At 47.8% G+C, this 26223-nt stretch overlaps 1 protein-coding gene across 6 annotated transcripts in view; it reads left to right on the plus strand.

The window, feature by feature from the left end:
- TSPAN11 (tetraspanin 11) overlaps positions 1 to 26223 on the plus strand; it is an 89755-nt gene that overhangs the window by 762 nt on the left and 62770 nt on the right. The window lies entirely within an intron of this gene.

Genomic DNA, 26223 nt, shown 5'->3' on the forward strand with positions numbered 1-26223 from the left:
GTCTAAGCTGCTGTGTGCAGGAGGAATAAGTGTTCCAGAGGTCTCCAGTTCGTGGCAAGTATTGTGAGGTGAGCGTGGGGGTGGGGGGTGAGGAGAAGAGGCAGCTTCTGGAAAAACTCATAAGTGCACTCTGGGGCATAGGGTGTGTGTGGGGGAGCGTGAAGAAGAGAATGAGGGTGGTATTAGGCCAAAGTGGATAGTCTGTGTTCAATTTGTGGGCAGCTGGATTGCAGTGGAAAGCAGCAGTTAGAGGCTGGAGACAGGTTTGAATCAGAACTTAATGGTTGTCACTGTGTCAGTAGCATTGTTCCCTGGACAGATAGGTCATCTGGGGCTCAGTTGCTTTTTGTGCAAAATGGGACTAATAACCACTGGCCCCATCTGTCTCCCAAGGGACTGGAGGCTCCAATTAATGCCTGGAAATGCTTTGATGATAGTTAAGACTCCTAGGGTAAGGGGCACTACTGGCCTACAGGGGCCAAGTTGGTGGTCTGGCGAGGGCTTAGGTGGCCCAGAGCTGTTTGGTTTGTGGGTAGCAGAGGGAGGCATTTGTGTGCTGTTTCCCACTATATTCAGCATAGCAGGAATTTTATACCCACCTTTGGACTCGTGTGTAAAATATGTACAGGCCTGTGTGATTCCCCATAGTTCTTGTGTGAGTGCTGCAGAACAAGAGGAAAACTGGCGTTGATGTCTTTAAGTCTGCCTAGAGCACCTTGACTTTCCAGAGAGCCTTTCTTCAGATGAGCCCAGGACATTTATAACCACCAACTTGCTTTTCTTTTTATGCCGCCAAATGAAGCAGTAAGGAGCACCCTTCACAGTTTGTAGCCAGGGAGATAGGAGATGAAGAAGCTTTCCCAGCCAAGGTCACAGGCCTGGGGTGTCCACCACCAAGTTCTATCTCTTGGGTTACAGTGCCTTCAGACCCAGGGCCAACGCTGGACTGGGCTGAAGAAGGAGGGAGGCATCAAAAGTCATGCACAGACGGCACCGAATTCCAGGATGTAGTTGGGTGGTTTGTCCACCCTCGGATGTCACCTGTCACTGAGACTTCTTTGTATGTGATAGCTGTTTAGTAGTGTTTGTAAAAGGAAAGATCCTTGGATGGGAGATGCCGGCAACCCAGGTCAGGTCCCGGCTCAGCTCCCTGCCTGGGGAAGGTCACATCACCTCTCTGGGTCTGCTTCTTCTTTGGTCCAAATCAGGGCATCTTTCCAGATTATCATTCTGTTTTCAACTGTGTTTTGCTTCCTCAGAGAGGCCTTTCCTGATCCCCCATCTAAAGTAGCCACCTCCCAGCCATGATCACATCATTGTTCCTTCCTAGCACTTGCGACCTGTCTGAACTTAGCTTTGCCACATCCTACTACAATGTGAGCTCACCAAAAGCGGGACTGCCTTTGTGCCGTTGCCTGCTGGCTCCACCTGCAACACAGTAGGTGCTCAAGAGATATTATTGTTTGTGAATGAGTGAGTGAGTGAATAAATTAGTAAGGGGATGTGCATATGTGTTTTTCAAATTGTCCTCCCAGGAGCTCTGGAAGGGAAGAGCAGGCTCCACTGGCAGGGCGCCAGGTCCCTCACACCAGCAGCTCGGGGTCAATCTAAGTTACATGTCAGCTTTCAGATAGGATCTCCTTTGAAGAAAAGCCTCTCTCACTAAAATAAAACTAGAAAACCGTTGCACCAGAAGACTTAGAGGGGTCTTTTCAACTCCAAGTAGAAATAATAGTACCGCAACTGGAAGAAATCCGCACTTGACCCTCAACGAGGATTATAGGCAGGATTCAGACATACAAAGTGGTTATTCCACAAACCATTTCTGCTTGGCCATGGAATTCATCCTATGGCTATTTTTATGCTACTGGTTTAATTTCTTGAATTTTGGTCAGAGTTAATATGGAAATGATTTTGCTTACAACACAGCAACAAGGGCTATGTGAGAACTCGAACCCATCTATATCTGAGACAGGCACCAGACGGAGGACACGAAACATCTGCAAGGTGGACAAGCTGTGCGCAGATATTTGAGAGCTACCTATCTAGGGTGACTCTGTCTGTTATCGTCCTCTATTGGGGGTGTTCCCAGGCATACTTGCCCAGATGTGCCTCACCCCCAGTAGATGTCCACTCAGCAATGTTTTTCTTGAGTAGTTGGCAGTGCTGAGGAACTCTGGTCTCTGAGTGATTACTGAGCGTAGACGACAGCCACGTGATGAAACCTGGCTATATTTACATGTGATGACCCTGATCTGTATTTACAGCAGCCATGTTTCCTGGGGTTTCCAAGCTCTCCTCCACGTAAAATAGTCTCTTGTGCTGCCTTTTCCTAGAAATATACTTGGAAGTGGCAGCACAGCTGCTGTGTCCAACACCATGTCCAGGTTTGGGGCTCAGAATCTAGATTTACCACCCTTTTCTAAGCCCCATAGGGGGAGCATTAATGACCGTGCCCATGATAGAGGAGGTGGTGGTGTTCTGTTTGGTTGGTTTAGGTGGGTTGTTGAGGACGGAGACTGTGGAGAGAAGGGTCGGGAGTAGAGAACTGGACCCTCTGTTCATTCCATTGATACTGCCCTTGCTTCGTGTAGATGCCCTGCTCTTGCTGACTCTGGTGGGTTTCTGGGCTCATAGGTTTATACTCACAAGATGGCACTCCACAGGGTAGAGGGAGTTGGGAAGGGGGCAGCAAATATACACTGTACATGTATGTTTTCCAAGTGCCTGCTGTGAGCTTTGAACCTCCAGGCTATGAGACATGCATTAAGGACCCAGCCCCCGACCTCTGAGCACTCATTGTTGAGGACATTAAACTCATTCCCAGGAAGGGATGAGAAAACAGCTGAGTGCAGACTAAGTGGCACTCACCCAAGCCCCAGCTGGAGCTGCGAGAAGGAAAGGTGTGCAGAGAGGGCAGGCAGAGGCAGCCAGCAGCAAGGGTGGCCGGAGAGCCCAGCTCTAGGGCCAGATGGTTCAGGCACAGATCCTGGCTCTGCCCCTTCCTCTCCGTGTGACCTTCCGTGTGTTATGTGACCTTGCTAAGCTTCAATTTCCTCATCTGTAAATCGAGGAAATGACCTCAACTCGTAGCAGGGTGCATGGATGCCTGCCTAAGCTGAACTCAGAAGAGGGGTACGGAGCGCCCAGGTATCTGATGACCACAGTGAAGGAATTTGAAAAAGGTCTTATGGCAAGGAGGGGGCTTGAAGAGTGGTGACTACTGTGGGACCTTGTCTAATGCTGGTCTCCCCTGTAGTAGTCAGGGGGTCTGTGGCGTCGGGCTGGGTAGGCCCCAGGCCAGTCAAGCACTCCCTTTCTCCCTGGGATGCTTTTCCAACTGGCCATGCGACTTCCACTCACAACTATGGAGGGGGAAGTGGCTGCATCCTGGCAGCCTCACCCTCCCTCTCTCACTGCCCTGCACACATACAAGCACATGGCCCTGCTTAGAGGCTTAAGGATTTTTGCTGTAAAATACCAAGAATTGAGGATGTTACAGAGGTTCAGGAAATGAGAATTGCTCTGGTGGTCCCCTGGTCTGTGTTGAAAGGGAGTAGGGGACCCTCCTTGATGGTAGTGTGGGATAAACCCCCCAGTGGTTCTCAGCCCTATCCTGGCTTAGGCATTCATTTTTTTTTTAATATGTACTTCGTGTTTTGAAAGGGTTTTGTCAGCCAAACTTCAATATAAATGAGAATGTGTTTCTCTATCTTAAAAAGATTAATAATCAAAGACCCTATAACTGATAGTTTGATTCCTTTCTGCTTGATACATATCAGTTGAGGTCACTTGCTAGCAGATTCTAGTGTGTTTAAAAAGCTCAGAAGAAAAAAGGACAAAGGACAGAAGCAGACTGGTGTTGTCTGGTTTGTCTGAGGTCTGGCACAGTTAGCAAACATTTAATCACATAGCTGGTGTGGTAGCTTGACTGAAGCCTTTTGGTCAGGTAGAAATTCAGGTTTCTATGAGCGTTCTTGAAATGCGGTAGAGATTTCTCTCCCAGAGCTGCCTTTTATAGATAAGCACTAGGGTTTTGATAGTTGGAAACCACGGTCCTATACTGTGCTTTTAGAATTAGAGTACCTGGCTGGGCGCGGTGGCTCATGCCTGTAATCCCAGCACTTTGGGAGGTCGAGGCAGGCAGATCACCTGAGGTCAGGAGTTCAAGACCAGCCTGGCCAACATGGTGAAACCCCGTCTCTATTAAAAATACAAAAATTAGCTGCGTGTGGTGGTAGGTGCCTGTAATCCCAGCTACTCGGGAAGCTGAGGCAGAAAAATCGTTTGAATCTGGGAGATGGAGGTTGCAGTGAGCCGAGATCGCACCACTGCACTCCAGCCTGGGCGACAGAGTGAGACGCTGTATCAAAAAAAAAAAAAAAAAAAAGAGTCCTCATCCTATCCTACTTGAGAATACAATTGTTTATTGACTTTTTATCCCTAGCAACGAGTGCAAAGCTTGGCAAACAGTAGGAATTCAATAAATGTTCATTGAATGGACATTTCAGGAAGGAGCTCATGAGTCATCACCGAGACTGTGCCTCAGGGAGACTCAACCAGAGCCAGATAGGTAATTTGTGGGACCCAGTGCAAAATGAAAACATGGAACCCTAGCTCAAAATGCAGGAAAAGATACCATTAAAGTTATCTTTATACCTTTATAAATATAAGCCCTTTCCTTTTTTCCATGGTCTTTCTCTCAACTTGTCATGTGGTATTTTTATTTACTATTTAATGATATTCTAAGTAAAGAAAAATTAAAATTTTAAATTATTAGTATGAATTTTACTGTTCATCCTTATATTGTGCAATGCCAGTTTAAAAGACTCTGAGCATTTAACGTGTGTAGAATCACCAAACTACACAATTCCGATTTCATAGTGCATATATGCACGTGTATTTTGTTCTTACCAGAGCAGTGTCATTGCTGCTCTCAACTACTCATCAATGCACTCAACGTCGCTAACTCAACTGTTTTTATTCCTCTAGTAGCATCCCTGGGGCTCACTAGGTCTCTGCGACTGTGCTGGGCATATGGTCCTTCTCTCGAGAGTTGATAATTCAGGACTTGTCTGTGCCTACCCAAAAAAGAAGGAAGGGTTGGACATCAGTGATTCATACCCTGTTTGTGTGAGGGAGTCACAAACTCCTTTGGAGATCTACTAAAACCTATGGAACCGCAGCACATAGATGGTAAAAATGCTTTATACAATTTCAGGGGCCCCCAAGTTACAACTCCATGGAAGGAACTGTCTTTTAGGCTTACTGCTACGCCATGGTATCCTGTTTCGGAGACAAGATAGGGACTATTTTGAAAGCAAATGAGAAATTGTTCAAATCCTCCTATCTGGGAAAGGAGATGAGATTTTAAGTCATTTGGCTTTTTAAATTCAATTCCTGATGCCTGGAAGGGAATGACGCTGCCTTTCTGATTCCCAGTGGGCAGGTTGTAAATGTCCTTAAGCATGAAATGACGTGGTCCACAATGAAGGCTTTTGTGGGAGAGCCCCTCTTTCCACCCCATAGGCTAGACTCTCCTCCAGCCTGACTGACCCCTGCCAGAGCCGCAGGATGACAAACTGCCACCATCCCCTTGCTGGGCTGCAGCTGCTGCTCTAGTGGGGAGAGGCAGCTGCACATCCAACCAACACTGACTGAATTCAGGCACAGGCTGGGGCATCACAGTCACTCTCTGGGTGATCCTTGTCCTCTAATTTAACTGGGCAGAGGAGGACACTGGCTCAGGTAGGTTAGGTGACCTGCACAAGGTCCCCCAGCCAGTAAGAGTGACATTAATCTTCCCTCCATGTATGTGACAGCCAACCCCCAAACCAGGACACTGGCTCAGATAGGTTAGGTGACCTGCCCAAGGTCCTGCAGCCAGTAAGACATTAATCTTCCCTCCATGTATGTGACAGCCCAACCCCTAAACCAAACATCAGAGAACCAGGCTCACATTTATGTTCCCCCTTCCAGCTCCTTCCTCTCAGCACTGGGGATGGGGAAGGGGAGGAAAGCCACCCCCTACCTCTGCCCAGGATGGTGCAGGAGCCGCTCCACTGAAGACCTCTCCCTGAAGCTCATGGGTGTCCTCTGCAGCATCCAACCAGAGTCATTGCCCATCCAGCTCTCAGAAATTGTCAGGTCAAGCAAACAGTGGTTGCAGCTCTAGTGGCTGCAGCTCTAGTGGCTGCAGCTGTGGACCTAGGAGGGGCTGCTCTGGGGACCCTGTCCAGTGGAAGGGACAGCAGTGTTGTTGAGGCCCCTATGTCTTAGACTCTGGGTCTCCTGTGTCAAGCCTGATGGTGAGCTCTTGGTTCAGATTGAGTTGGGATCATTGTTGATTTGAGGCCTAGAATGCTTCCCATGTCCTCTAGACAGCCATGAGGAGCCATGTTCTATACCCCTTCCCTTCACACCTACACACAGCAGTGAACACACACCGGGGCCCCCATAAGTAGAGATGCCTATGGGCCTCTAGCTCCAGTCTCAGTCCTAAATCCAAACCTGGGAGTCCCCAGAACCTGGAGGTGTCATCCACTTTGGCCCGGCTCTCTGGGGGACTGTGGATGCTGGCTTTCAGAGTCATGATTACCCAACTCTCTAGCCTTCTCAAATTTCTGCAAGGCACTAACCCCCAGCTGTTGGGTGGGCCAGGCCCAGGTGGACAGGGGTGACCGGGAAGACCCACTTCAGATGTTTCTGTCTTGGCCCCATGCCTGAGGGGCAGAGCACAGCCAACCAGAGAGGACTCCTGCTCTGCACCTGCTGGAATTGGCAGCCATGTCTGCCTTGTTGTGGTCACATGGACTCAGATCCCAGGGCCTGGATACAGGCTCCAAAAAGTCCATCCAGGCTCAGCTTCTCTGGCGTCTTAGTCCATTCTCACGCTGCTGATAAAGACATACCTGAGACTGGGAAGGAAAAGAGGTTTAATTGGACTTACAGTTCCACATGGCTGGGGAGGCTTAACACACCCCTTCAACAAAAGAGGTCCTGCTCTATCTGCCTTATATACTGAGGTTTTACATCAAGTTTGTCAAACCTCTGGCCTGCATGTGGTCCAGGACAGCTTTGAATGCGGCCCAACACAAATTCGGAAACTTAAAATATTATGAGATTTTTTTTTTTTTTTGCAATTTTTTTCTTTTAGCTCGTTAGCTGTCATTAGTGTTAGGGTATTTTATGTGTGGCCCAAGACAATTCTTCTTCCAATGAGGCCCAGGGAAGCCAAAACATTAGACACCCCTGCTCTACATAAAAATTTATTTGAAAGAATCTGCTATTACAATAACTTTCTCAGTATACAGATAAAGACACTGAGTCACAGAGAGGGTCAGTGACTTTCCTGAGATGCTGGCAAGTAGAGAGGGACCTCCTGAATCTAAGAACTCTGCCCCCTGAAACCTAGGCCTCTGCCTGTCCCCACCCCCATCTGTGTGCCATTGCCTTTATAAACACAACACAGCTGTCAGCAGATGTCCCTTGCATCACTTTGGCAATTCCCCTTTCTTTGGTCATCATGGGAAGCAAGGACTTCCTCAGCCCCTGCCCCTCTCCTGTGATCCAAGAACACACACTCTCCCCAGCCAAATTCCCCTTGTGCCAAGCACCGGTCTTCCCTGCGGAGAGGTGAGCAAACAGCTCCCACCCAGACAGGGCCTCATGCAAGATGTCTCCATGGGGTGAAGAAAGAGTGGCTCTTCTCCACAGAAATCATACATCCATTCAGTCAAGAAGACTGGGGAAATTATCACAGAAATCATTCTCTGAGTGTGGGAAAAAGTGTAGACTGTACCCTTCACTATAATTAAGCTGGGCTTCAAGGGAGCAGTGAGTATGTTAGCCAATGCTTTGTGGGTTTTTTTTTTTTTTTTTTTTTTTTTTGGAGATGGAGTTTCACTCTTGTCGCCCAGGCTGGAGTGCAATGGCGTGACCTCAGCTTACTGCATCCTCCACCTACTTGGTTCGAGCAATTCTCCTGCCTCAGCCTCCTGAGTAGCTGGGATTACAGGCACCCACCAACATGCCCGGCTAGTTTTTGTATTTTTAGTAGAGACGGGGTTTCACCATGTTGGCCAGGCTGGTCTTGAAGTCCTGACCTCAGGTGATCCACCCACCTCGGCCTCCTAAAGTGCTATTATATAGCGTTGTTCTTTTGGAAAAGTATTTTTGTGACCCATTGTGTGAAAATTAAAACCCTGTGCTCTTAGTGCTGAGAGGCAGTGATTTTCCTGCATGGGCTTAGGGTCACCGGCAGCCTCCTCCGCTCCCCTAGCTGGGTCCATTGGTGCAGTTAGGCAGCCTGGGTCAGCTGCCATGGACTGACCATAGGCCAGGCTGGACAGCCCTTGACTGTCCTAGGTGACATGGTCTCTGCCATGGTCTTGCAGAATCACAGGAAATCGATTAACACATGCCCAATTATCCCTGCAGAGAACCAGGCTCCTGAGTGTATTTTTAGAACTCATCTAAATGGATGCTTATTCCCTAATGCCAGCTCTGGTTTATAACCTGCTGAACCATTTGGGTTTCTTTAATTTAACCTCATAAGTGGTGGGTGACTCTAAGTCTCATTCCCTGGATCAGAAAATCCAGTGGTTCCCTATTGCTTACAAAATAAAATCCTGAAATCTTGAGCCTGGCACATACCTTCTCTGTCACCTTCTTTGCTTAATTCCTGCTCTTCCTTCAAAACCCTTGCCCACAGCTCCCTCTTCAGTACTCCTTCACACATTTTTCTTCCTGAGCTGCATACGTTGTGCTACAGTGATATTAATGTGTCTGTCTTCCCAGCTGTGAGCTCTTTGAGGTCAGGGACAGCTTCATTCATTCTCTTTTCTTCATTCTTTTTCTTTGGGAATCTCTAGCACCTAGCACATTGTGTGCCACGTAGTGAGGCCTCAGATGTTCAATGAATTAATAATTAACTGGTTAATTTTAAGGGAGAAAACAGATACATGAACCACCAAACACACCCCTACAATGATAAATGAGGAGGGCAGCCTCAGGCAGGGCAGCAGCAGGGAGAAGAGTGGAATGGTGGGTTCGCAAGATGTTCATTGAGGAGAGCTGCAGAAGGGGATGGCTTAGTGTTGGGGTGGGAAAGTGATAAAGCTGAGAAAAAGGAGTGAGCACTGCATAGGTGGATGGAGCGTCACTTACTGAGATTAGAAATACAAGATGGATGGGTTGCAGTGGGAAGATACTGACTTAGTTTTGGGCGTGCTGGATATTAGGGAGCCTGTGGTCATGGGCATGAGCCTGGAGCCCAGCAGGCTTTGAGAGTCATCAGCTTGTTGGAGGTGGATGGAGTTGGGCATAAATGGGGGTAGCAAAGAGGAGACAAGAGGCAAAGCACAGAATGTTCCCCACCTCACCCTGGAAGGAATGCCATCCTTAAAGGTGTAAACCAGGAAGAGGACGAGTCGATGAGGCCAAGGAAGAAAGGACAGTTTTGGAGATTTGGTCATGATGTTCAGATCAAGGCAAATTGGAAACTTGGAGAAGAATACAATGAGAGTGGTAACATGAAACCAGCAGTGGGGAGAGAAGGCTTCAAAAGAAGATGTGACCAACTTTTCAAATTCAGCAGAGATGAAGCAGGAGGAGATAGGAAAAGCCACCTTTGGCTCTGGCAATTGGAAGTGACTTTGGGTTAAGTGGGCGGTGGAGGAGGTCAGACAGTGGTGGGGTGCAGGATGAATGGATGAAGAAGTGAAGCTTCAGAGGAAGAAAGATCTGGCAATAACTTAAGAGGGAAACAGGATCTAGGAAAATGTGACTTGAGAAACAGTATGCATGGTCATTAGGTTGAACTGTTGCATCTTAACAGCTGAGATTGTATCCTGGCTCACTATACTAGTCTTACACAGGACTAATTTGTTGCTTCTAGAAGTGGAGCTAAAGCGTACTTTTGGGGGGGCGGCAGGGGGCAGTGGGGCAGGGACATTTGTACAAAGACTCTGACCCCCAGGGATAGGAGTTAGTTAAAACAAAGGCTGAACTGCTGTGTCAGAAACCCAACAGGACTGTGGCTTAAAGAACAAAGAAGCTTCTTTTTCTTTCATGTAACAGTTCAGGCTAGGCAAGCTGTTCTGCTCCACACAGTCATACAGGGAGCCAGGTTCCTGCCCTTTTTGTCTACCATCCCCAAGGGCAGTGCGTGGTCTCAAAGTGTGGTCCCCAGACCAACAGCATCAGCCTCACCTGGAAACGTGTTAGAAATGCAGAGTCTCAGGCATGACCCCAGACTTACTCAGAATCTCTAATAGGGGAGCACTGTAGTTTTGAAAGCCCTCCAGGTGATTCTAATGTACCCTTGATTTTGAGAACCACCGCTCTGAGGTGCTGTCCTTGTCTGCATGGTTGAAGCTGATTTCAGACACATCCATGGCAAGGGAAAGACTGGAAAGGGAAAGATTGTGGCAATGTGCATGAGCAGTATTTTAAGGTCCAGGGGTGGAGTACTACTTCCACTCATCCATTGTCAAGAATACTATATGGCCAGAGCTAGCTGCTAGAAGGGTTGGGGAATGCAGTCACTTGTTAGGTGGCCACATACCCAGCTATGACTCCATTTTAATGGAAGAAGGGGAGAAAATCTTCTGGGAGACCATTAGTAGTCTTGGCTCCCTTAGGAATCAAACTGAAGGAAGTTTAATGCCACATCCCATCCTCTAGAAGGAAGAAAAGATATCTACCTACAGATCACTAAGGCTTGTCTGTTTAAAGAGATCAATGGGGGTCTTTTATTGGATGAACCAGCCCCCCAAATGTCTGTCCACCCTCAATGGACATGAGCAGCCCAGCCCTTGGACACCTGCCTCAACTGCTCACCCACTATATACTGTGCTGCCAAGTCCCTGGTTGGTAACTTCCAATAAACATCAGGATTTCCCCAGCTGACCCCATCAGAAGGAAGGCACCCAGGCTGGGCAGGGAAGGATGGGTAGTTAGAAGGGGTGCTGGTTTACTAGAAATGAGAGCTAGAAGATAAGCTGCTTGTCCAATGAGCAGCTGGGCACTTGCAGGGCAGCTGTGCACACCTGCACAGACTGTGCCTTGCACAATTCCAGGGGCAGCCATTCTCATGGGTCTCAACCATGTCCCACCCTCAGGGGAACCCCAGCACCCTGGGGTCTTGGACCTTCTGCTGCTGCTGCTCTTTGCCTTACAGATCCTGAGCTCACCCTGAATGGGTCACCCCTGAAGCTTCCATCCTTGCTCTGAGCAGCTTCTCGGGAAGCATCTCAGTGCTCCAAGGACCAAGCCTAGACAGAGAAATCAATTCTGGATAGGGACAACTTATCTTCCCTCCTCAAAGCCTACTAAAAGCCCAACCCTGAGAGACTTTGACTTTGGCATCAGCAACACCTGGGCTTGATTCCCAGGTCTGCCAAAGGAGCCTCAGCCTCCTTGTTTATAAAACAGAAGCGGGCTGGTTGTGGTGGCTCACTCCTATAATCCCAGCACTTTGGGAGGCTGAGGTGGGTGGATCACTTGACACCAGGAGTTCGAGACCAGCCTGGCCAACATGGTGAACCCTGTCTCTACTAAAAATACAAAAATTAGCCAGGTGTGGTGGGCATGGTGGTGCATGCCTGTAGTCCCAGCTACTCATGAGGCTGAGGCAGAAGAATTGCTTGAACCTGGGAGGTGAAGGTTCTATTGAGCCAAGATTGCATCACTGCACTCCAGCCTGGGCGACAGAGCAAGACTCCATCAAAAAAAAAAAAAAAATCCAGAAGGAGTGGCACCTGCCTCACTGAGTTATTGAGACAAGTAAGAAAACTGGGCCAGTTGAGGGCCCGACCACTGTGCTGAAGCTGCAGGGGGCTGGGTTTTTTACTACTGACCAGAGTCTGGGAGAGGTGCCAGTGGCCAGAGGTGGTTTCTCAAGGCCATAAAACACCTGTCTTCATAACTAGGAAATCACAGTTTCTGAAACAGAGACAGGATGACGCGCCTTCCTCAGATCTGGCATTTGTTTATGTAATGATCTACCTTCAAATTCAACCACATGCACGCACTCCATCTCTAACAGTTCTGCCACTTTTGATTCTGAGTTCTGCAGCAGGAGAAGGGAGCCACTTGTGTTTGCCAACACTGAGATCACACTAGTGGTGGGTTTTAGGGGCTCTGGGCTTTCCCGGGCTCTGCTGTGGGTCTGTTTTTAAGGGCTGGAGCAAAGGCAAGAAAAAGAGGGCGAAGGGTTAGGAGAAGTGAGGAGACTGCATATTCATTTTCAATCCCTGTCAGAGCTGCCCCCTTCTGCTGTGGGTTTCTTCTGAGGTCTCACTCCTCTAAGGAAGGGCCCGATTACAACCTCAGGTGTTTCCCATCAATGGAACTGTCCTGTTCACATTGGTGCCTTGTTTGGATTATTTTCAAAAGGATTTTTTACTTTGATGTACAATGGACATAGGTCTGTATCTCTCATCTGAGGCTGAAATTGGAAAACGAGAGAAAAGAGAAGACATTGTGGAGAGTGCAGAGAAAACTCAGGGAGAAAAAGACGGGAAATCCCTGGGCTGGCTTGTGAAAGACTCCCAAAGGGCCCTGTTGGGAGAACTGGCTGGTGCCTGCACTAAAGCCATCTACACAGAAATGCATCCTGCACGTTCCCACAGGTGCATGCCATAGAAGCAATGGCCTGAGTTTCACTTCTCTCCTTTCCAATACCTTTGACTTAGGTTCCTTGGGGAACCAGGTGAGAGCCTGAGTGGGATGAGAAATATTTATGTGATTCTCAAAGAGTTCATGAGTGTTCACATGGCTCCTTAATGCATTCCTTCCTTCATTCATTCATTCATTCAGCATCCGACACCCATACATCAGGTACTCTGTTGGGTGTTCAGGGCCCAGAACTCAACTCATATTTTATCAGATAATATAGCTAAGGGGCATGCCTCAGACTTCATTAATGGGGATTGTTGACCCTGGGATGTAAGAGCAGGAAGTGGGATGGAGAAATACATAGAGTGTGGAGGGAATCCGACAGGTTTAGAGGCTTGAGGAGTATTGAATATTGTTGACAAGCAGCATAACATGGTGGTAAAGAGCCAACCTGGGATGTTTTTTAAGTGAATAGAAGCACTGCTCATAATTATGTCCACATAATTATGTGCAGGTGTAAACCAGAGTTAACCTCTGTCTCCCTTTCCTCTTCTGTAACATGCGGACAATGCGCATGCCTACCTCATGGGGTTGTGAGGATTAAAAGAGATAATGCTTACAAGGCAGGGGTCCCTGACCCCCAGATCATGCCCCAGTAGGAACCAGCCTCACAGCAAGAGGTGAGTGGCAGGTGAACGAGCATTACCGCCTGAGCTCCGCCACCTGTCAGATAAGTGGTGGCATTAGATTCTCATAGGAGCACGAACCCTATTATGAATTCACATGTGAGAGATCTCAGTTGCACACTCCTTGTGAGAATTTAATGCCTGATGATCAGAGGTGGAACAGTTTCATCCCAAAACCATCCTCCCCCTACCTCCACCATCCGTGGAAAAATTGTCTTCCACGAAACCAGTCCCTGGTGCCAAAAAGGTTGGGGACCGCTGTTACAAGGTACAGTTGATCCTTGAACAGCATGTGTTTAAACTGTGTATGTCCACCTATACGTGCATATTTTTCAACCAAATACAGATCAAAAATACAGTATTTGCAGGATGCAAAACCCATATATACAGAGGGCCGACTTTTCACATGCAAGGGTTCTGCGGGACCGACTGCCAACCTTGCGTATGCATGGATTTTGCTATACTTGGGGATCTTGGAACCAATCCCCCGCATATACTGTGGGACAACTGCTCTTAGTACCATGCCTGATGCATGGTACATGATAAACACTAGCCACGGTTATTCCTAGGCACACAAAATACACAGAGCCTTGGGCGATGCAGAAATGGTCCGAAACTACTGTGCCAGCAGTAAGTCTTGGAATCAGGCCACATTTTTACCCAACCCAGTAAGGAGGGTAGTCACTCCAGTTTTATAGGTGAGAAGAACTGAGGCCCAAAGGCAAGGAGCAAGTTAGAAACAGAACTGGGACTAGAGCCCAGGTCCCTGGGTGTAGGCCTAGCCCCCCTTAAGTTACAATAGTGTTTGGGGGCCTATTGAGAAGGGAAGGAATGTGTAGAGGTGACCCAAGCACCAAGACAGCTGTCACCTTCTGGACTTGATGACCTCACTAGCCCTGCTGGGATGGCAGAGGCCCTGCTGGTGCTGCCTCCTGGAACCCCACCCATGGGGCACCCCAGCTGCAGTCCCGCCTGGGGGCACCTCTTCCAACCCCACCAAGGGTTCTCCTTTTGCTGCGCCTTGCTTCCATCTTGTTGAAAACAGAGATGAAGGGCTTCTCTCACTCTACGGCACTTATCACTGTAGCCATTGCCTTCTTCCCACTTCTTTTAAATGACTTTCCTGTCTGAGCCAGTTTGCTTTGTTAAACTGAGGTCTTGGTTTTCTCCAGGTAGATTTTTCATGGCCACTTGGGAACAGGGCCTTCCCTCACAACCATCGGAATACAGTGCACTAGCAGGCCGGTGGGCTGAGGGGCAGGGGTGCTGAGACTGCATCCCAGCCGTCAGATTCGGGCTCTGGATGATGTATTTTTAGGGTTACCCAATCTTTTCCCATTGTCCTTCATCGGGAAGCTCTTAGAGAGTTGGGTCTAATCATTCCTTTACCCTTGTCTGGCACTGACGCCATAAAATTGAAGTGCATACTGTTCTTACAAATCCTCCATCCCATTTGGTCCTCACAGCCACCATGCAAGGGAGACAAAGCCAGCCCAGCATCATCTCCATCTTACAGAGGAGGAAGGGAGGCTCTGGAGGTCACAGGATTTGTCCAGGGTCAAACTGCTGTAGGTGGCAGCTAGTACTCACACCCAGATCTTCAAACCTGCCAACTACTGGCTATTTTCTGTTTGCTTCATCACTGATTTTTGTCACAAGCACTGAAGTTCTCATTTCATAGGTCAGACTGCAGCTTTTAAAAAAGAAAAAATGATCTAGGAAAAACATAGCATGCATGTGGCATTGGAATATAACCAAAAAAGAAAAAGAAACACAGGTAGCAAACCATCCAGGGACTCTGTGTGTATGTCTGCATCTGGAGAATAAGGACAAGCCAAACCACTTGCCTGATGATAGGAGCAGAGTCCTGACTAAGACATGGAATGCAATTTGTTACTTGCAAATGAAGTTAAAAAAAAAAAAAAAGTCATGTACAAAAGTCATGTACTTAGGAAAACATGTCTCTCAGGGCATAGAGACAAAGAATTCTTAGTGCTAGGGTTTTAATTCGAGTTCTACTGCACCATCCATGTGACTCTGTAGTTAGCAATCTGACCCTAAGTTTGGTCCAAAAGAGTTGCCTGAATTCATTTACCTGCACACAATGAACATGGTGATAGAAAAGGCCAGCAGTTGCTCAGAAACCCCAGCCCAGCCTGTGCCTCACTGTGCCACTGGCAGCCACTGGATCTCTTGGCCTCAGTCAAGGAGACAGAGGACCAGGGAGAAGGTGTGATTCCCTCCAGAGGGTTCTCCAAGCAGTTGGTTTCTTTGCAGTGACGGCCGTCATGGCACTGCTGACTCAGGTTCCCTTAAGGGTCGGAGAACACTGGCCCTGCTGCCTCCCACAGCCCCGACTGGGGTCTCTGCCCAGGGCAGATCCCCTCATTCTTAGCTTCCGCCAGAGACCACCAAGCTAAAAGAAGCTACAAGAAACCCAAACTAGATCTGCACAAGGAAAAGTCAAACGTCTGCTCTGCGTGTCTGGGTCTCACTTACTGGGTCTCAAACATCTGCTCTCATGTGTCTGGGTATCCACTTACTGTTCTGTGCCTCAGTTTTCTCCTCTATAAAAAGGGATGATGATTCCATCATGGGATTATTTTTAGGATTAAATTAATTAATGCACATGCATCACTTGGTTTGCTGCCTAGCATGTAGTTAGCATTTAGTAAATGTTTATGTTTATAATTACTGTATCCGCCAATCAAAATCTTGTTGGTAGCTGTGGAAAGAACACTGGCCTGGGAGACAGGAAACCAGATCCTGCCCTGCTACTAATCTGCAGTGTGACTTTGGCCACAGTGTGACCTCCTGTTCCCCCACCCCAAGCTCCACCAAGCTTGCTTGATTCTCACACAAAGGAGCTGAGCTCGGGATCCTTTTGGCTCCTTCCAGCTGCCCCATTCCAAGAGTCTGAGGAAGTCTCACTTCTATGACTGCTTCAGGAAGATGGACAGTCACAGTGTCCACTCATCGGGAATGGAGCAGGAAAGTGAAAATTAACTAAGAGGGAAACGGGCACAGAAGGACAAGGCTGTTGGCATGGGGTGTGGAAATCCACCATGCAGGGGCTGTAACCAAGTTTCATTAGAGGCCTAAATTAAGTTATAAATTAAACCATTTAGACTGTTTTTTCCTTTCCAGCTGTCTTTGGCCATCAAGCAGGCATGACCTCTTGTTGGCCAAGAACTCAGAGGTAGAAACTGGCACTTATTTAACTGCAGGGGTGGGGAGTGGAGTCTAGCTTACCCCCATAGCAAACACACTAGTTTTGTGGAGAGTTTTCTTTTTTTTTTAAATGACAGATAAAACTGTATGTATTTACCATGTACAACATGATTTTTGAAGCATATATACATTGTGGAATGACTAAGTCTAAATAACAAAGGTAGTACTTCATATAATTATCATTTTGTGGTGAGAGCATGTAACATTCACTCTCTTAGTATTTTTCAGGAATACAATATATTATTAACTATAGTTATCATGTTGTACAATGGATCTCTTGAACTTATTCCTCTTGTCTAAAAATTCTGTACCCTTTGACCATCATCTCCCTAATCCCCCTCACAATCCCCCAGCCCCTAGGAACCACCATTCTATTTCTATGGGATCAACAATTTTAGATTTCACATGTGAGTAAGATCATATGTTATTTGTCTTCCTGTGCCTGGCTTATTTCGCTTAACATAAGCCATTTCTGTGTCTATATCCAAAGGAAGTGAAATCAGTATGTGAAAGAGATATCTGCACTCCCATGTCCATGTCAGCACTGTTCACAATAGCCAAGATATGGAATCAACCTAAGTGTCCATCAACAGATGAATGGATAAAGAGAATGTGTATATATACACAATGGAAGACTGTTTGGTCTTTTAAAAGAAGGAAATCCTGTTGCTTGTGACAATATGGTTGAACCTGGAAGACATTATTTAAAGTGAAATATGCCAGCTTTGTTTTTATTTTAGAAGCACCAAGTTCCCCAGAAGCCCTCCCCTGAGTATGGGGTGCTCCCTGAGTATGGGGTGCTCCCCTCTTAGGGAATAGAGAGTCAGAGTCCCCCAACCTGAGCTTTTGCTAATGGGAGCTTTTGCTAAAAAGCTGATAGGATCCTAAGAGTAGAGGATGTGGAGAAAGGGAGGAAAGTCACAACTAAGTGAGGCCAACCAGACTGTTCCAGGCCCTAACCCGAACCTGACTTCCCAGTGCTTCCTGTTGCACTGGCCCATGCTGCCCAGCCATTCCCCCAGGCCTTTGCTCACACTGCCCCATCTGACTGGGCAGCCCCTCCTCCTTTTCTGCCCTCAGAAACCCTGCCTGTCCTCAAGGACCAGATTAAATGCCCCTTCCTTTTGCCATCCCCCTGCCCCCACCACCCCTGTCTGGCAGAATGAACACCCCTCCCTCTGTGTTCCCATTATCAACACAGGCCAGCATCTTGAAAGCGCTCCCCAGTGTCTGGAAGTTGTTTATATGCCTATGGCCCATCCTCCATGGCTTCTGTCAGCTCCTGAAGGAGTAAGTCCAGTGGTTCTAAGTACCAGGCCTGGCACCTGCTGGGGACTCCATACATGTTTGAGTGTGTAAAGGATGCAGCTGGCCCAGGGCCTGAAAATGCCTTGTATTTATGTCTGATTTATAAAAATCAGCTCCCAAGCACTCCCCAACTCTCTGCCACCCATCACCATTAAAGGACTCAGCTCTGCCCCTCAGCCAACAGTTGTGGTCCCTCTGCTCCTGGTCGCTGGCCCTGGATGGAGCCTTGCCCTGTTCACTAGGACTCCCAGCACATCTGGCCAGCCAGCTGGGCCCTTTCTACATGTCCCTTGTCTTCTCGGTGCTTGAGCCTCATTCACTTAGGGAAGAGGGGATGCAGCCGAAGACACAATGATCCCCAAGTCTCACAGCCCATGACATTACACATCCGGCCCTGAAGAAAGTCGCCAAAATCCATCACCTCACCATCAAGGCATTTGCGGTTGCTTTTCTGAGATGTCGTATGGTGTGGGTCCTGTCTATGACATTAATGGCCCCCAGGGCCTGCTGGCTCCCCCTGAATCCCAGCTTTGTTCTGCAGTCAGAACCTCAGCCTGGAAGAAGGCCCGCTGAGGCCCATTACCAGGATATCTGGGAAATCCTTGACATTTCAACAGGAACTGTGTCCTAAGTGTGAGTTTGCATGAGAGGACAGGGCCAGCCTTGTGCTCCGCCCCGCTCAGTTAGTTTGTTTCAGATGTGAAGGATACTTACACTGCAGGGTCCTGAACTTTCAGAACTGAAAGGGGCCTTGAAGAAAATTGATTCAAAGTGTGGTTCCGAGACAAGCAGCATCTGGGAGCAGTGGCCAGCCATCCTGGTTTAACACTGAACAGCACTACCATATTCCAAGAAATCCCCCTGTCCTGGGCAAATGGGGATCATTAGTCACCCTTCTGAGAGCAAATTCTCCAGTGTCTCACCCTAAACCTAATGAATCAGAAACTTTGGGGGTAGACCCAGCAATTTGTGTTTTAACAAACCCTCCAGATAATTCTGAGACTTGCTCAGGAGAACCACTCTACTGATAGCTGGGAAAACAAACACCCCGAGAAGACAGTAACATGCCTTACCAAGCACAGGCAGCAAAGAGCAGACCCAGAGAAAGGGTCCTGACTGCACTGTGTGGTTCAGCTGCCCCAGCTCAAGCCAACAGGCTCGGAGGGTTACCCAATCAAACTCCATCAGCCTGCTAAGTAAATATGGTACTGAAAAGGACCCAGATCACTTGCTGTGGTTCCTGGGCACCGGGTGCTGCTCTGGGGATCTGGGAAGGTGGGGACAGCCACCTTCAGAGAGGATGGGATTCCTCTGAGCCCTGGAGCATTCAGACAGGCAGAGAGGAGCAGGTGTTTCTGATTCAGATCACAGCGTGAATGAAAGCCCAGAGCAAGGATGCAGCAGGGCCTTTCAGAGGCCAAAGAAAAGACCAGCTTCACGGAGGTGGGGGGTCTGGGGGTACAGTCCCTCTCCTTTGGGGCTGTCCCTGGGGCTGTCCGTGATTCTGTGTCCAGTGTTGATTACCACCCCCAGGTGGGAGTCTCTGCCTTGCCTGCCCCCTACTGTCTGGCTTTTGCCCCTTAGGGACACCTCCTCCCATTGGTTCAAGAAGCCCAATTCCTGTGAACAGAAATAACCTACTTAGGAAGGCCCGTCTGCTTCCCAGAAATCAGAAGACACTCCCCAGAGCTCAGTGAAAACAATTTCAGGGGATTATCCAAAGCCCAGGTCCCTCCGTTCACTGGCAGGGGCAGATAAGCCCACATCAAGTGGCATATGTTTGCTTCTGTCCAGGGTCTACTGCAGCCATTACCATGCCCATCTCATGTGTCACTCTCTAGGCAAAGAAAAATTGTGGGGTACAACAAGGTCCTAGACAGGGGAGTCCATTAGGACAGCCAGGAGGAGGGCTGGAAGTGGTTGCTAGAAATAGTAGCTCCTCCTTCAGCCCTGTCCCCTTTCCCTTGAGGCAGCAGAGCTAAGTGGGTTTTGGAGCCTTTCACAGTGCACCAGGCATGCTCCAGCCTCCCTTCCTTACAACACAAAAGTGCTTCTGTATTAGTCCGTTTTCATGCTGCTGATAATGACATACCTGAGACTGGGAAGAAAAAGAGGTTTAATTGGACTTACAGTTCCACATGGCTGAGGAGGCCTCAGAATCATGGCAGGAGGCAAAAGGCACTTCCTACATGGTGGTGGCAAAAGAAAATGAGAGAGAAGCAAGAACAGAAACCCCGATAAACCCATCAGATCTCATGAGACTTATTCACTGTCACGAGAATAGTATGTGAAAGACTGGTCCCATGATTCAGTTACCTCCCCGGGGGTCCCTCCCACAACATATGGGAATTCTGGGAGATATAATTCAAGTTGACATTTGGGTGAGGACACAGCCAAACCTTATCATTCTGCCCCTAGCCCCTCCAAATCTCATGTCCTCACATTTCGAAACCAATCATGCCTTCCCATCCATCCCCCAAAGTCTTATTTCAGCATTAACCCAAAGGTCCAGAGTCCAAAGTCTCATCTGAGACAAGGCAAGTCCCTTCCGCCTATGAGCCTGTAAAATCAAAAGTGAGCTAGTTACTTCCTAGGTACAATGGTGGTACAGGTATTGGGTAAATACAGCCATTCCAAATGGGAGAAATTGGCCAAAACAAAGGGGTTACAGGGCCCATGCAAGTCCAAAATCCAGCAGGGCAGTCAAATTTCAAAGCTCCAAAATGATCTCCTTTGACTCCAGCTCTCACATCCAGGTCATGTTGATGTAAGAGGTGGGTTCCCATGGTCTTAGGCAGCTCTGCTCCTATGGCTTTGCAGGGTACAGCTGCTTTCACAGGCTGGCATCGAGTGTCTGCAGCTTTTCCAGGCGCATGGTGCAAGCTGTTGGTGGATCTACCATTCTGGGGTCTGGAGGACAGTGGCCCCCTTCTCACAGCTCCACTAGGCAGTGCCCCAGTAGGAACTCTGTGTGGGGGCTCTAACCCCACATTTCCCTTCCACACTGCCCTAGCAGAGGTTCTCCATGAGGGCGCCGCCCCTGCAGCAAACTTTTGCCTGGGCATCCAGGTGTTTCCATGTGTCTTCTGAAATCTAGGCAGAGGTTCCCAAACCTCAGTTCTTGACTTCTGTGCACCCACAGGCCCAACACCACGTGGAAGCTGCCAAGGCTTGGGGCTTCCACCCTCTGAAGCCACAGCCCGAGCTTTATGTTGGCCCCTTTTAGTTACAGCTGGAGCAGCTGGAACACAGGGCACCAAGTCCCTAGGCTGCACACAGCAGAGGGACCCTGGACTCGTCCCACAAAACCACTTTTTCCTTCTTGACTTCTGGGCCTGTGATGGGAGGGGCTGCCATGAAGACCTCTGACATGCCCTGGAGATATTTTCCCCATTGTCTTGGGGATTAACATTTGGCTCCTCATTACTTATGCAAATTTCTGCAGCTGGCTTGGATTTCTCCTCAGAAAATGAAGTTTTCTACTGCATTGTCAGGCTGCGAATTTCCCAAACTCTCATGCTCTGCTTCCCTTATGAAACTGAATGCTTTTAATAGCACCCAAGTCATCTCTTGAATGCTTTGCTGCTTAGAAATTTCTTCCACCAGATACCCTAAATCATCTCTCTCAAGTTCAAGGTTTCACAAATCTCTAGGGCACGGACAAAATGCTGGCAGTCTCTTTGGTAAAACATACAAGAGTCACCTTTGCTCCAGTTCCCAACAAGTTCCTCATCTCCATCTGAGACCACCTCAGCCTGGACCTTATTGTTCATATCACCATCAACATTTTTGTCAAAGCCATTCAACAAATCTCTAGGAAGTTCCAAACTTTCCCACATTTTCCTGTCTTCTGAGCTCTCCAAACTGTTCCAACCTCTGCCTGTTACCCAGTTCCAAAGTTGCTTTCACATTTTCTGGTATCTTTTCAGCAACATCCCACTCTACTGGTACTAATTTACTATATTAGTCCATTTTCACACTGCTGATAAAGATGTACCCGAGACTGGGAGGAAAAAGAGGTTTAATTGGACTTACAGTTCCACATGGCTGGGGAGGCCTCAGAATCATGGTGGGAGGCAAAAGGCACTTCTTACATGGTGGCAGCAAGAGAAAATGAGAAAGATGCAAAAGCCGAAACTCATGATAAACCCATCAGATCTCGTGAGACTTATTCACTATCATGAGAATAGTACGTGAGAATAGTATGTGAAAGACTGGCCCCCATGATTCAATTACCTCCCCCTGGGTCCCTCCCACAGCACATGGGAATTCTGGGAGATACAATTCAAGTTGAGATTTGAGTGGGGACACAGCCAAACCATATCAGCTTCCTTTCCCAGGCCTCCTAGCTGCTTCCCTCCTGGCCTTGTCATTTGAAAATATCCACCTCCAGGTCTCATTTCCTCCCACCTCATGGGGCACCCCTAACCCTCCACCTGTCCTCCACAGATGAAAGTGAGCGCTTGCTAGTCCTCATTTGACTGACACCTCTTGACAGCATGTGGCACTGTGGGCCACCCTGTCTTCCCTGGCTTCCAGGACCCTGCACTCCCCTGGTTCTCCTTCTACCCTCCCCCTCGCACATCATTTTGCTGCCTAGTTGCTTCTTCCTCCAGTGGCTCTCTTTTTAGACAGCAGGGCTCCTCCTTAGAATCTTTCCTCCCCTGCCTCTTACACACACTGCCTGCCTGATGGGACCTCCTCTCTATGCTGTTCAGGCATCTGTCCCCTACTCTCCATTCCCCCCACCCCCTTCTCTTTCTTGGACTTAAGCATCACCATCCTGGGGTTGGCATCACCTTCAGGATGTGAATCCTAGTCCCTGAGCTTGGCATGTAAGGTCGCTCTTGACTTGACCCCCTACATACCCTTCAGCTCTCACTCCCTCCACTCATACTCTGTACCAGTGGCCTCCAAAGTGGAGACAGACAGTACACTGGGGTGCAGAGAGGACTTACTAGAATCTGTATCCCTAATTATTTTTTCCTTTAAACAATGCAGAATTAAACTTTGAATATCTGCAACATAGATTGACAATAGTACGTGAATAATATTTATCAATAAATTAGCGGGGGCAGTTGTACAGTCAGAATTGCTTGGCCACCACTGCACGGCATTGTCTCTGGTCTTGCTGTGTGAGACCTGCTGTGCCTCAGCATGGGATGCTCTCACACCCCTTAGTACCCACTGCTTCCTCTGCTGTACCAGGGTGATGTTAGCTGTGAGCAATAGCATATTCAAACATGTAGCTGAAAGAAACTACAAGTTTGTCTTTCTCTCATGTACACTCAGTTTGCAGGTAAGCAGCTCAGGGATGGTATGGCAGCTCTAAAATCATCTGAGACCCAGACTCCTTGAACTTATTGACCTGCCCTTTTCAACCCATGGTTTCCAGCTCATGGCCCAGGATGGCTGCTTGAGCTCCAGCCATAACATCAGCATTCCCACCAACAGAAAGAAAGGGAGAAGAGAGACATCCCCTACACACACACATTGAGGATACCTCTGATTATTAGAGATAAAGAATGGCATTTATTAATGATTAAGAATTTGATCTACCAGAATGATATCACAACTCCAAATTTCTTTACAACCTATAAAATATCTACAAAATATATGAAGCAAAAATTAACAGTATTAAGTGAGGGATAAATAAATTCACAATCATAGTGGGAGTCTGTAATATACCTTTTTCAATAGCCAATAGAACATGTCAGTAAGGATATAGAAGACGTGAAAAGTACAATTAACGAATTTGATCTAACTGACACATACAGAATTCTGTACCCTATAATGACAGGATTCTCATTCTTTTCAAATGTGTGTGAAACATATATCAAAAAATGATCCTTGTAAGAAGTTGCCTATACCACTTCTTATATACCATTTCCTGGCCAGCAGTGAATCCTGGCTATACCTAGCAGGACAGGAGGCTGGGAAATGTTGTCTGTTCCAGGTGACTAAGTATCTAACTAAAATTGAGAAGTTCTATTCTAACAAATATTCTAACAAATATTAGGGGAACCAGCAGTCTCTGGTCGCTCCCCTTCCTCCTTTGCCCTGGTAGATCTGGTCCTGTGAGTATTGCACAGTGGGTAAAAGCTTGAGCCCAGAGGCAGAGATTCTTTATTCAGCTCTGGCTTTGTCATGTACTTGCTATGTGACTTTGGATGAATTATTTAACCTGTCTAAACCTCGATTATATTATGAAATGGAAATAACCCTATTTCATAGGGGTATTGGGAAGATGGACCGAAATAATGAGTGTAAAGCACTTAGTTCTGTACCTGGCACATAGTAAGTGTTCCATAAATACTAGCTACACAGGGAGGTTAAATAACTTGCCCAAGGTCACACAGCCAGTAAAATGGCAAAGCTAGCTTTCAGATCCAGTCATCTGGCTGCAGGCTGGTACTGACACTTCTTTGGAGCCTCTGCCACCCTGGGCCCCAAATATGGTGTTAGGGGAAAGGAGCACTGAATGGTGGAGAATAGGAAACTCAACTACAGATTAGCCATGTGACCTTAGAAAAGTCATTTTTAAATATGCATCTTAAATATGTAAAATTCCTCATTCTTTCTGCAGAAGATTGAATTAAGTGAGCCCAAAGGTTTCCCCTGACCCTGACATTTTGTGGTTCTATTTTCCCCACCACTAATGACTGAAATTTTACCATTAGAATGGTTTCTTTTCCTTAAGCCTTGTCTTCTGCCTGAAGTTCTTTTTAAAAAATACAATTTTCCTTTAGAGGGCAGGGCCCTGACTCTGTGGTTTGAGTGAGTGAATCAGGCCTCTTTGCTGCAAGTAGAGAGAAAGCTCTGGGGCAGAAGTCCAGTGGCCCTGCCTGGGAGGGGAGGGAGACTGCAGACAGGAGTGGCCAGGCCCCACAAACTCTGCCACTTGCTAAGGGCCTGCGGTGGCCCAGGAGACGCTGCACCTGGTCTCTTGTCAGGACTGACTGCATAATGGCCGTGAAATCGCTCCCATTAGATCCCCTGGCCGACCCCATCCACGGACATTTCTTACAGGCTTCCTTTTTTTCTCCTTTTATATTTATTCCACCACCCTACCTCGAAAACTGAATTGGAGAAAAATGAGTTTTGTGTTTTCTTAACGAGAAGACTAGCAGTCTTAAATTACCTTCTTCAACGTCTGCAAATAGAAATCACAAATAAGTCAGCCACATTGTCTTTTCCCTCTTCCTTTCTTCCTGTCTCAGTGAGCCCATGAGCTTGAAATAAGAGGCAGAACAGTGGCTCAGAGGAAATAATTGGGGCGTGGTCACGCACCAGCCCAGGAGGCAAGAATAGGATGAAAGGATGGTCCAGTTGGGGGTTGGAAATAATGGAGGAAGAGATGGAAATGCTAAATTCCCCTGGCCCGGCATGTGTGTCTTCTCTGCAGGCCCAGCAGCCATGGTCCATTATAAGACTGAACAGGACGACTGGCTGATCGTCTGCCTGAATAAGCATAAGCCATGCCTCATTGCTTATGGTTCTGAAATAAAAAGAGGTTCCCAAAATGGGGGTAATTTCTTAAAGAGCAACTACTCTGTGAGTGTGGGTGTGCAGGTGCCCAGGGGCACATGCAGCTCGAGGAGAAGAGGAAACTACAAAGGCTTCAGACTTTCTGAGGTTCAGACTGAGAAGCAAACAGGATTACCAGGCACAGTAGGCCCTCTCTGCCTGTATCACCACCATTGATGTCATACTTCCCAGAGAGTCCATCAGTGGGCATCAGAGCGAGGGACAGCATGGTGCTGGGGTAAAGACGGGAGTTTTAGGACTAGAGTCTTAGGCTCTAGCCCCAGTTCTTTGACATGTAATAATAGCTAACATTGAACACTTATTACATGCCAAGGACTATGTTAAACACTTCACATAGATTATTTCATTTAATCTTCAAAACAACCCTATGATATATGTGTCATTATTATCCCCATTTACAGATGAGAATGCTGAGGGATGGGAGGTCATGTAACTTGCCCAAAGTATCACACATCTTGTGACAGATCAGGGTGTGAACCCAGAGAGTCAGACTCCAGAGGCTCTTGTGCTTCTTCCTGCCAAACCACCAGGCCTGTCTGGGCCTGCTTCCTCATCTGAAAAGTCAAGCTGCAGCGGCCAGGTGGGGTGGACTGGGTGATCACTGGGGCCCTTTCCAACACAGGTGCTCTGCTCTGGGGCTCAGGCCACACCTGTGGATGCAGAGTCCTGTTCAAATGATGCAGAGTGCAAGTTTCCTATGCAAAGTAGTGATGCTGAGTGTGTGTGTGCGTGTAGGACAGGTAAACTTGTGTCCTGCAACCCTGGTGAGACAGGAAAAGAGATTAAGAACACAGTAAGACCAGCGCAAATTCTGTGGGAGACTTGTAGG

This window comes from Homo sapiens, chromosome 12 (assembly GCF_000001405.40).
Source record: "Homo sapiens chromosome 12, GRCh38.p14 Primary Assembly".
In the NCBI taxonomy this organism is placed as follows: domain Eukaryota; kingdom Metazoa; phylum Chordata; class Mammalia; order Primates; family Hominidae; genus Homo; species Homo sapiens.